At 35.5% G+C, this 12,911-nt stretch overlaps 1 long non-coding RNA gene across 1 annotated transcript; it reads right to left on the reverse strand.

Annotated features, from left to right (window-relative positions):
* Positions 1–8,666: 8,666 nt before the first annotated feature.
* Positions 8,667–11,924, reverse strand: LINC02339 (long intergenic non-protein coding RNA 2339). The gene is made up of 2 exons (NR_134946.1): positions 11,471–11,924; positions 8,667–8,964 (listed from the first exon to the last, which is right to left on the reverse strand). It is a non-coding gene; the product is annotated as a long intergenic non-protein coding RNA 2339 (long non-coding RNA).
* Positions 11,925–12,911: the final 987 nt, after the last annotated feature.

Consider the following 12,911-nt stretch of genomic DNA (forward strand, 5'->3'; position numbering starts at 1 on the left):
GGTAAAACATTGGTTATTTTTCAAATTAGTCCTTCCTTCCTTGTTTCCTTCCTTCCTTCTCTCCCCCCCTCCCCTCTTTCCCCTTCCCCCTTCCCTTCTTTCCTCTTCCCTGCTTCCTTCTTTCCTTCCCCCTTCTTTCCCTCCCCCTTTCCTCCTTCCTTCCTTTCCTTCCTTCCCCTTCCCCTCTTCCCCTTCCCCCCTTCCTTTCTTCCTTCCTTCCTCCCTCCCTCCCTTACTCCCTAGCTCCCTCGCTCCCTCACTCTCTCCCTCTTTCCCTGCCTCTCTCCCTTTCTCTCTCTCTTTCTTTCTCCTGGATTGCCTACTGGAAAACTGGTCCTTCATAAAGGAATTGTGGAAGAGTGTGGTGCCAAATGATTGCCTATCTTCTATGGCTTTGACACTGAATAGCTATGTAACCTGGAGTCACCTAACTCCTGGCCTTCTGTTTCCTCATTTATAAAATCAAGGCTAGTGGGATACTCCAGTGCATTAAGCCTCTGAAACACTTTTTGATCTGCAGGTTGCCATGTAAGTAATGGAAAAGCCCATGATTCGGCCTTTCCTTGAGAAGACATTTCTCTTCATCGCTAGGCTTCCAGATATCCTCTGCAGGGTCCTGAACATAAAACCTCACATGCTGAATGACCAGTGACTGAGCCTAGAGTGAAAAAAGGTCTTTGATACCTGATTTCCATATGCTTTCTGTAGGAACTACTTCAATTTTCCCCTTCCACCAAATGCTAACTAGAATATAAATTGCTTGGCTGAGCTAACTGTTTTGCTTCCTATCCTTCCTATTTTCTCCTCATTTCTAATAATCCTAAACACAGAGTCCTAAATATGGACAACACACTACATCAAAACACCTGGAGGGTAACAGCTTGTTATTGTGCAAATGGGGCTGTACATGGAGTTCACAAGTCTCTCTATAATACAAATTTGGCATACAATTTGAACCTGGCTGGTAAAATCAGTTCCTTCAAACCCTTTACAGTGAAAATGGAGCACTGATGAAGTGGTAAACCTCAGCCCCCAATCACCATCACCCCACCCCTCACCCCCCTACCCCTCTCCCACTCCACCTCCTCCCCACCCCACACACACACTCAAAGGAACATGCACATCTGAGTTGAAGGTTGGTAAACAAGCTGCAGCCAGGGAAGCATGATCTCCCTCCTTGTGCTTTTTAGCTGCTGGTTCTGCCCTACAGCTGAACTTTTGCCATATTAGTAAATATTTACTTTGAGGTCTGTAGTTGAAACATACTTGACTCCCCAAATCAGTACCAAGCTGCTTCTGAAACGTGTTTAACTTACATCTTTATACAATACCCACAGCTTCCCGAAGTTGGAGGCCCACGGCCAGAGTTAGGCAATCTGTCAGCAGTCAGAGAACCTGCAGTCTGCAACAATTCTCCCCCAGAGACAGAGCAGCAGAGTGGGCTGTTTATCCGCTCACAGCTCATGCCCTCTGCAACAAGTTAAGATCATCCACCTTTTTGGTGGAAACGTAGGGAGCTATTTTCTTCATTTTTCCTTTGTTATAAGGACATTGTACAGGAGCTGTTGTTTATGATGATAGTCCAGGTGAAGTGACATTTTCTCTTTGTAATTATATCTCAAGTTTTTACTTTTCCCTGGCCCCTTACTCTCCCTTTCCCTACTTTGCAGTGGTTGCTTGTAGTACAGATGCACTTCCTTTTTAAAGTGTTTCCCCCAGCCTACACCAGCAGAATCTTCGTCTTCTGACCCTATCACCCAGCTGGTCTCTGTGGAAAGGGTTATTACCACACCTCCCTTTATTAAGTTGAAAAGAAATTAAATATACCCATTTGGCCATAATTATTCTCTAGAGTGTTTCTAAAAACCATAAACATGAATTATAGCAAAAGTTCTTCATGTAAGTTGAAACACTAGTATTGAACACATCTTGAAAATAATGTTTGGAACGACACTAACAACCACATTTGCTTTAAGTGACTACGGTGATTGCAAAGTCCCTGCATGGAAGTTTGTCATCAAGATTGGGAGATCTTGGCATAATATTGAACAATACCTTCCACGTCGCATTTCAAACCATTCACTGAACTACTTGTTATTATCTTTCCTCTCTGAAAATCCAAAGGTTTTACACAATGTTTATACCCTAATTGGGCTTAAATAAAATAAAAAGGACTAAATAGACATCTTTCTTCCCATGTATCCCTTCTCTGGGCCTTGTGAAAGCATTCCCAAACTCTTATTCCTTATGATGCCAGCCTGCGACCTACCTTCTGGTGTCACATATTTCTAACGATGACTCAGAAAGCTTCTATGCTATTAGTCCCTTGAAAATAATACTTATGAACTTCTTAGACGTCTCAATTGCTCTGGGCCTGCTTCCCACATGTTTTGTAAAAATCGATCTAGAAGAATAGTTAGATTATATGCCTCCCAAGCCTATTTTTCCTATAGACAAGGAAAACAGCAGGATACAATAGACGGTGCACTGAGCTGAGCCAGAGGAGTGGATTACATTCTCTGGGTTGTTGCTAAGTTCTGTGTGACTTTAGACAAGTCATCAAACTTCTCTGTTTCAATTTCATAAAAAAAGACCCCTACACACTTCATGCACGTATATGCATGAAATTGCTTACCTCATATCTGGCATTAACAGACACTGCATGCTGATACACGGGTTAACTTGATTATTACTTATTGCATTCTATCACTAAAACATACTATTTTTCATTTACTGCAAGCCTTCTTTTTGTAATTTTATTATCTCCACTACAAAGATGTGAGCAAGATTATAAGTATATATCAAGATACCATCTTTGCCTGGGCGCGGTGGCTCACGCCTGAAATCCTAGCACTTTGGGAGGCTGAGGTGGGCGGATGGTCTGAGCTCAGGAGTTCAAGACCAGCCTGGGCAACATGGTGAAACCCCATCTCTACTAAAAATACAAAAAACAAACAAACAAACTAGCCGGGGCGTGGCAGCGTGCGCCTGTAGTCCCAGCTACTCTGGAGGCTGAGGCACGAGAATGGTGTGAACCCGGGAGGCAGAGCTTGCAGTGAGCCGAGATCGCACCACTGCACTCCAGCCTGGGCTACTGAGCGAGCGAGACTCCATCTCAAAAAAAAAAAAGATGAGGAAAAAAGATACCATCTGTAAACTTTTTACGTTTTAAATCTTTAAAAAAAATTTTTGAAGCACTATGCTTTACAGGTAGTTTTATTTGTATTTCTCAATTAAATCTATTTCCACTATTTAGATTAGTTTAATAATATTGTGGTATACACAAAGTTTCATGTAATCACTATATACACAGATATTTAAAACTATCTTGAACCATAACCGTGTACATGTTCTGGTTAATTCATAATTGCAAATAAATATAAGTTTAGAATATTACCTTATTTTAAGGCCATTTCTCTTTGTCTTAATAGAATTTTTAAAATTAGAAGTCCCTTTTGATGAATTAAAATATATGTACATGTGTACACAAAATATATTATTAATATATAGGTACATATGTAAAAGTGTAAAATATACCACATATAAATATAACATATAATAAATATATATACAATGAAATATTATATCTGTATTCTTTTTTGATTCAATCATCAAGGTTAAAAGGATGATTACATTTGAAAAACCAATAAAATACCTGAGAAATGATAGATTGGTTACCTAGTGTCAATTATGTTTCAAACATGCTACTAGGTGGTTGACATATGTAATTTAGTTAATCCTCACAGCAGTTTTATAATATAGTTATTATTATACCAGCTTTATAGCCATACATAACATGCTAGTCCAGAGCCTGATCTGTGACCTTCAAAATATGTGATCTTTCTACTCTGGTATGCCTTTCTCATCAGAATGGGAAAATAAAGGGCCCACACACATTTAAATGTATTTCTATTCAACAAACATTTATCACTCATTTAAAATAAAAAAAATTGGAGGCATAGATGTGTTATATGATGCCTTTTCGAAGGAAAGGATTCTTTAGTCCATTACTACTTCGTAAATAGATACATACACATGGATATAACTTGTCTAAGCTGTGTGGCTAACTTAAATCTCCCAATGTATACATGTAAAATATATAATGTGTGTATAGCTGTGTGTATACTTGAAAGTACTGAAAAGCTTTGGATAATTTTAGGGATCACCTAGTTAGCCCTCATTTTACATGCTAGGTGACAGTAAGAAAGATGACTTATAGCTGACTCAAATTATGAAAATACTCCCATTTCTTATAATAGTACTAGATTTTAACCTCACAATTGCTCTGATATTAGAGGATAACCTGTAAAAACAGTATATTTTTTAAACCATCTACGGTTAAGATCAAAAGCCTTGATTTTAAGAGTTACTCTAAACTTTATTTTATTTTATTCATTGTTCAAATTTACAAATATTTACAAATATTTTTAAGTAACTACTGAAGTACTAATTATTTTTTAAGTATATCACACAAACTGAAAAAATCCTACTTCATTTCCCTACACGATTCAGAAATTAATAGTGAGACTAACAGGGAATCAGCAGTGAGGCCTTTTGCTAAAAAAGCTGGACAGTTAATTCAGTAAATAAACATACATTTACACACTTGCAAGAAGAAGGTCCAAATGAGCTAATTTACTATAAAACTTGTATTCTAAAACATTTACTGCTGTACTGTGCAACTTATACATGGGACCTTTGTAAGCATTATTCCGTCCTGATGACTCTTTTTTATGTTTTAGAAAACTTTGTGTAAATAGATTGTACATTTCTCCTCTTTCCCTATATATTCCAATAGGAAAGAATAAGATAGGATGGAAGGGTCCTTTCATTTCAGAACTCAATTAGCATCACTTTAACAGGGATAAAAATAACTGTGTGAAGTCATTAGAAAACCCCAGGCCTAATTTTAGCTAACATTTTCAACTTTTCCTCCTTATCCTGAAAATAAATTTTAAAAGTCATTTTCAACTCATTTTAATTTCACATTCTTCCTTCTCACCTCTGGTAGAGGTGATAATGAGCAGCGAAATCATCAAAAGAAAGGTGGTGGGATTGAGGAGGGAAAGAAATGAAGGGCATAGAAAATTCCACGAAGTGGATCAGGAGTTGCCGAATAAAGAACAGTTAACTAAATGTGGTTTATTGATGATGCATATGCCTTACTTCCTGGAGTCCATCCCTGGGAGATTTGAAAGAAGGAAAAAATACAGGCTGTGCAAAGAATAAAGCAATCGTAAACCCTCTGAATTAGCATAGAAATTAGGTCAGGGCCAAAACAAATCTATTGAAGGAGAGAAAGAATTTTAAATTATGTTTTAGGAGACCGATCGTCTATTTCTTCAGATACCTATTTTTGATTCTCACAAATTTAAGTGTTACATATGGGAAAGTTTAATGAAAATTTATGCTCAAGTAATGTTTTTATACCGATCAACAGATCTTTTGACTGGCTTGATAAAATCTCTTTTTATCTGACTCTGTGAGCCTAAAGTGCGATTGTTAAAAACTGCATGACTGTTCTAATCTCAGCATGTGTGGCATATATAAAGGCATTGAGTGAGTATCATAGGGTCAGTAAAAGACTTTGTCAATGATGTACGTAGTCAATATTTTCATGGCGAAAATATGAAACGCTATGATCACTAGCTACTTCTTTCTTGATATCTCTTTAGAAGGAGGTAGAGTTTGCTGATCTCAATTTCATTTACTGCTAACAGCCAGCAATATTCAGCACCTAACTTTCACCAAGTGCGTGGTGGACATTACATTGAATATTCACAAAGTCTCTGCAAGTTAATGATGACCCCATTTTACAGATGAGGAATAGAAGGCTTTTAGAGGTTAAGTAGGTTCTTGTGGTCACACAGCTTTGGAAGTGGCTAAGTTAGGAGGAACAAGGAAAATTTGAGTTAGTTTATTATAATGTTGGTGAGCCTTTTAAAAACAAATATGGGCGATATTCTAATATTAACTGAAGCAAGCACATATGTTGAATAAGGAATATGTACACATTATAAATAATGCATATAATCTGATAGTAAGATAACCATTTCAAAAATACCAAACATCTGGAAAAAATTAAACAATTATAAACTTCCATAAAAATGTACATAAGCTATACTTCTGAAACAATGAGTGCTCTGTTTTTTCTAAATTATTTGAATTATCAAGAAAAGAATGTGGGTTTTGTAACAGAATTTTTATAAACAATTTAGAATTATATGGCAATAAAACATTTACTTGGCGAAAAGAATGTGCTTCTTGATAATGAAATTGTAAATATCCTAAAGGCCCACCATTTCTTAATTGTAGATAATATTAAAATTTGGTCCAGTTGATATCAACTTTATTTAGAATATAATAACAGTTTTTTTGTGGATTCCTTCTCTTTATGAATAAATATATTCTGCATTAACTAGATTTAAATGAAATATGAATAATAATTGGTTTTTAATGAAAAATTTTATTAAAGCTTATTTTAAATATTCATATGTTCTTTTAGAATTCAAAATGTCAGACAAATGTAGATAAGAATTTAGATTTTGTGCAATTTAACAGTCATGTAGACAAAGGTCAAAAAAAGCTAGAAGGGAAAAAGAGATTTGGAGATTTCCATGGGAAACAATATTTTTTATGGTATTTTTCTTTAAATAAAAAGAATTAAAACTTTTTAAAATGTGCCATAAGCATGGCATATATTCTCTTGAACGTCTAACCTCAAATGATTCTCCTGCCTCGGCCTCCCAAAGTGGCAGGATTTCAGGCATGAGCCACCACGTCTGGCCAGGATGGCATATATTCTATATAGGAGCAACTATTCTTATTCTAAATGTGGATGTACATGGTGTGCTTTCTTAAAAAAAAAAAAACACAATTACTGCCACTTTGTATTTCAATACTTCTCCAAAAAAATCCAAATCTATTAGAGTCCTGCCAGAGCTTGTTAAACTATTCAAGAATGATTATAAAAGGTGTTTTACACATAATGTACACCAGTCATAAAGCTGAGAGACCTCAGGTATCCTTACTAGCTGTGACTGTGACTATTTAAGCATTTCTGTAGGATTTCTGGATCCAGGGTGATTCAAGATGCCATCTCCACACAGCCATACAATATTTAAGAAAACCTCAATTAGGCTAGCCATGGATCTATCAACTCTGCATCATTGTCACAGGCTCTCTGAGGTGTTACATGCAGCCTACAATAGACCTCCTTAATATCATAATCAAAATAGCAGTGAGCTTTTCAGCAAAAAAGACAGGTTTTCACTTATCACTTAAAACCATTTATCACAAAATACTAGAAATCTTGATTCAATGTTATATTCTCCCTCCAGTAGATTTTGGCAAATGAATGCCATATTTCTCAGAAGTTATCAGACACTAAAGAAGGGTCATAACAACAGAGAAAGTGTCACGCTCTTCTTGTTATTGCTTTTCTTACAAGTCCTTTTCACATTCATAGTCCACTTTCCCTGACTTCAGTGGCACTACACTTATTTGTTTTGTACCTTACATCTCTGTCCTATTTTTGTCTTTGCTCCTTTTATCACCTTTTAACTATAGGTTTCTCCAAAGGTCGTTTCTGTTTCTTTCTATAATCACTCACTGGGGAGTCCTTTTATTGTAATTCTAGTCATCCACTTCTATATTTAGGCCTTCCAATTGCACTCCCAATGCCTTCAAATTTTATGCATCCTCAAATTTTCCTGTAATTAGGAAACATCATCTAGAGTTGAAAAGTCATTTTTCCCTAGGTGAAATCTCATCCCTAAGGATTTTTATTCCCTCTTCCACAAATGGCCTGTTCCTAGTCAGACAATCTACATATGACAATGCTTCTAGCATAAAACAGAAACATCCATACTTACAAACTTTTTAGCTACTTAAAGGTAGTTTGCAAGTATATTTATTTGTACATCCAAATTATTATGAAACCAACTACTATTGCCAGCTCTTGGTGGAAGGCAGAACTGAGGTACATGGCTTTGTTCTCACCATATTAGTACATAGAGGACTGACTATTCTTGGAACATAGCAGATGTAGAAGTTTGAAAAAAGCACACAGTGGAATAGAGCACTGTTGCCTAAGAAAAGTCAACTGCCTGACTCACAAGAGGCCTCAGAGAGTGGCATTAGAGTCATGAGACATAATAACAGCTACCAGTTTTTGAGTATTCACTGGACTAATGTATTTATGTGTATGTGTATGTATACATATGTAAATATGTGTTTGGGGCGTGTGTGTGTTGTATATAAATTCTCACAGATAGATATCATTATTTGCAATTGAAAACTGGGGAAATTATAGCTTAAAGCATTATGTACCTTATCCAAGATCACACAGACATCATTTAAATCATATCAAGCATTACCTTAATTCAAGCACAATTACCCTGAGGGTATTAGGCTATGCAGTCTATAGGCTGAAAAATTGAATTTGGGGAAGGAGAGAGGATGGAGAGAATATTTTAAAATCTCAGGCATTAAGTCATATTGACCTAGCCCGATGATAAGCCCCAAATTTCCCATGAGAGTTTGTTTACAGCCTGGTTTCCCATGGCATTGATTGGGCTCTTTTTTACTCTTAAAGTACTGTGGTTTAAACAATAAAATATGCGGTCAACTTAAATTATTCATATTAACAAGATTGGTTCAGAAAATCAATGTGCATGAAAATATAATGAAAATGTGTTACAAAGACTTCCATATTCATGCGGCATTGTCACTGCGCTTTTTTCTGAAGATAGATTGCAGTGAGAAGCCAAAGAAGAACCAAGTGAATCAAACTGTAGAATGAATGAAATGTTTCTTCACAGCAGGCTGAAGCCTCGAAGTATTCAGCCAATGGAGATGGGATACCTACAGCCATTTGGCTTTGATTCCCTCCATGCCTCTTGGTGCTTCCATGCATACTTCCCCTGGGATGCTCTTCTTTTGGTTTCAAAAGCTGGTAAGTCTCTGCCGATCAACACATGATTTCTTTACAAACACAGAACCTAACTCAGGGTGTGGGAAGCCTGAGGTCTACCATTCTCTTTTTCAAAGAGCTCTTTTGTGCTTCTGTTCTGATTGTGTATCAAATCAGAGGAAAATATATCTTCCCTTATTTCCAAGGTATGAGAAGGCATTTCACTGTAGCCTATGGGTATGAACCAAGGAGACAGCATGGTACTTATGAGCCCAGGCTTTGTGATCACACGGACCTGGCTTCAAGTCCCCATTCTGCAAGTTACTTACTAGTGGTGTTACCTTGAGCATTACTTAGAATTTTTAAGAATCAATTTATAGCCCAATTACCCTGATTTGATTGTTACACATTGTATGCCTGTGTAAAAACATCACATGTACTCCATAAATATATGCAACTATTATGTACTTGTAATAATTATATACAATTTAAAAAATAAAATTAAAATTTTAGAGCATTTACCATTTGCTAGACAGTATCATAACATTATATGTGTTAAGTTATCTAATTTTTATAGCAATAATTGAGCTAGGTACTGTTATTGTCATTATTTTAATATGAGTCATAAAGCAGCTATGTAACTTGATGAGCTTTCACAGCCAATAGTAGAGGAGCTGAGATGGGAAAGAAGGCAAGTTGCCTCCAGAACTCTCAGTCAACCATTTCTCTGCACTTTGTCCTGTTAAACAGGATTGGGAGTACTTACCTGCCTCAATGAATAGTGGTAGATATTTAAATAAGTAAGTGTATTTAAAATGTTTATCACAATTCTTGTTACAGAGTAAGTTTCAATAAATACTAGCTGTAATAATCTTAATTATATTCTCCCCTTTCCGTCTCCTTCCAATCATTCATTTTCATTCAAAGTAAACCATGGTTCTTTTGATTTCCTGTACACTATATAATTATTGCTATTTCTGTACCTTTGCCAGTGAATTTTTCTTCGATTAAAAATTCTTGTATTGTGTGGACAGCTTTTCCAAAACATGATTTTTCTTCACAGTCCGATGTACGTGACTTTATTCATTCCACTTTTTGGTGCCTTTATCCACATTCAGTTTGATTTCTCTGGATTTTTACTGAACTTAGAGATTTTAAAAATCATCTAATTTATGTTTTATTATGTTATAATCATTTTGCATGTCTTTACGTATTCTGTATCATTTTTGGACAGAATAGAATTTCCTCATATCAGTTTGTAATGTGGATATGAACATTTTACTTGTTCAATATTTTATATAAATATATTTTCAGTGAGGCTTATTTTATCGACATCTTTGGAAATATTTATGATAATTTAGCATGAATTACTAAATATTGAATATATGTTTTAACTGGAATGTAAAATTTTAAGACTTTCTGGTATATGTAAAACAAATACCTCCAGAAATTTTAGTTATTTATAATAGCACTGTAACTATATGAGGGTACTCATTTCTTCAATGATATCATTATTGGATTAAAGGTATTTTATTTATTTCCAATATGATAGTTCCAAATAGCATTTATTAGATGAGAATATTAATAATTTTTAAAAATGGGAAATTTCTTCCATGTGTTTTTGGAGGGGGATATTAATAGTTTTTCTTATTTTTTCAGGAACAATACTATAAATACACCATAAAATATGGGTGCCATTATTTTTATTCAAATATTTGATAAGTTTCTTGCGTATTTACTGTATCTTGACTTGGATTTCCCCAATTAAATAACAAGCTCTTAATGGATAATGGTAAACACAGACCAAGCAGGTAGTCAACGTTCAATTAATAATTTTTAAATGGCTGAAAGCAGTAATCTCTTAAATTTTAGTTAATTAAATACTATTAAAATATCCTTAACTCTAGCAGTATAAATGATAAATTTCCAGATATAGGAGACTCTGCCTGCTTAAGTAATATCTGCCAACACTATTTATTTCTTTTTAATGCTTGTAATAATGAATATAAACATAAACGTTATTTGACTATGATATGTTATATTGTTCTCTAGTGTGAGCATAATCAATTTAATTAATATTCTTTTACCAAAGGTAAAATGTAATGTGATTAACTTTGCTTATTGAAAAAATGTGAAAATGTTTTTCTCCAAATTAAATACATTAGAAACATCGTATTCTCATTTGTATTTCTGCTGAATGGACCTCCTACCATCTGGAGACTCTCAGTCCATGAGATCTGCTAATCCACTTTTTCTTCTTTCTTTGGTCAAATTGTTCCCTAAAGTTTAGCAAAATGAAAATAATGTAAAAATTCTTTGCTCCTCCAGAGAAAATGTTTTCTTTTTGTCTGCTTTGAAAAACTGCTCTTTTCATATTTTTCTCTAGCTTACAACGTGAGAGTTAGCAATAAATGAACAACTGAATGGAAATGAAGACCTCAGAGTTGTTTTCCCCATGGAGTCAATGCCTTTGGGTAACCAGTGACTCTCTATTCTTCCTGTGGCTTATGGTATGATGGTATATTTTCATTATCTGCAAAGTACAGAAAATAATACCTTTCTCTGATGTCATGCAGATTAAGTAAAAAGTGTTTCCGTATAGAGCTTAAAATTTCAGAAGCAAAAAAGAAAGTTCTTATTTCACTCCCAGGGTTGGAGATGAATTCACATGGTCTTCAATGCCAAAGCTTGATAAGATAAAGCTGTAATCAGCATCATAGAAGAATCCTGCAGTAATCTTTTGTAGTCCAATGTCCACCAGTCTTCACTATTGTCTCTCTCTACCTTTTCTCATTTCTTCCTGTTACCTAGTTTGTATTTCCTTATATATAATAGGAAAAAAAATTCAAATGGTCAAAGATATTATCAATAAATCAGCCACTGGGATATTGCTGTCAATATGCAATATTTTATATGACAAAAATATTATATATCTTATTAGAGCCATTTTACATTAAGGCAAAATTTGAGACTTTTTTTAACTTGAGATGGTAGGCATTGCAGAAAGTGTGAACTCAGTGTATATTGTTTGGACTTTATGACGCGAAATGTTCTAGAATTTAAGATCAATTAAATAAAGGATATACAAACTATTTTTATTTATAGGAATTACAAAGCTGTATTAATCCCTAAGTTCAATAAAATTTTGCTGACAACCATCCAAATAACTAGGTACTGTTATTCTGGTTATAGATGCAAAAATCAAGGCACAGAACTTATATTATTTTTATTACCTTAAAGGAATACCCAAGACTGGGTAATTTATAAAGAAAAGAGGTTTATTTGGCCCATGTTTCTGCAGGCTGTACAAGAAGCATGGCACCAGTATCCGCTTCTAGTGAGGGTTTCAGGCTGCTTCCACCTATGGTGGAAGGTGAAGGGGAGCCAGTGTGTGCCGCGATCACATGGCGAGAGAAGCAGCAAGAGAAAGCGAAGAGGTGCCAAGGTCTTTGAAACAATCAGCTCTAGTGAGCAAGAGCAAGAACTTACTCATTACCCTGATAAGTCATTCATGAGGAATCTTCCCTTGGGACCTAAACATCTCCCGTTAGGCTCCACCTCCAACATGGGGATCAATTGCAACAGGCAATTTGGGCGACAAACACCCAAACTATAGTACACTGTGAGTATGTTAGGCAAAGTTATAAATTAGTTCCAAACTCTCAGCAGCTTAACACAATCAAGGTTTATTTCTTACTCATATTACATGTCTATTGTTATTCTCCATATATTTTCACTCAAGGATCAGGCAGCTCTCTTTCACCATGTAATCTCTGTATGTACTGGCACCCCTTCACCTTCCACCGGGAGTGGAAGTAACCTGAAACCCTCAAGAATTGGATGCTGGTGCCATGCTTTTTATACAGCCTGCAGAACAATAAGCCATATAAACCTCTTTTCTTCATAAGTTAAGGAAGACCGTTGCTTGTGACTCCTCGTGTCCAATTCTTAGCTTTCAGTGTCACTGTGGAAGGAAGGAGTAAACATGGAGCACTCA

This window comes from Homo sapiens, chromosome 13 (assembly GCF_000001405.40).
Source record: "Homo sapiens chromosome 13, GRCh38.p14 Primary Assembly".
NCBI classification, from domain to species: Eukaryota; Metazoa; Chordata; class Mammalia; order Primates; family Hominidae; genus Homo; species Homo sapiens.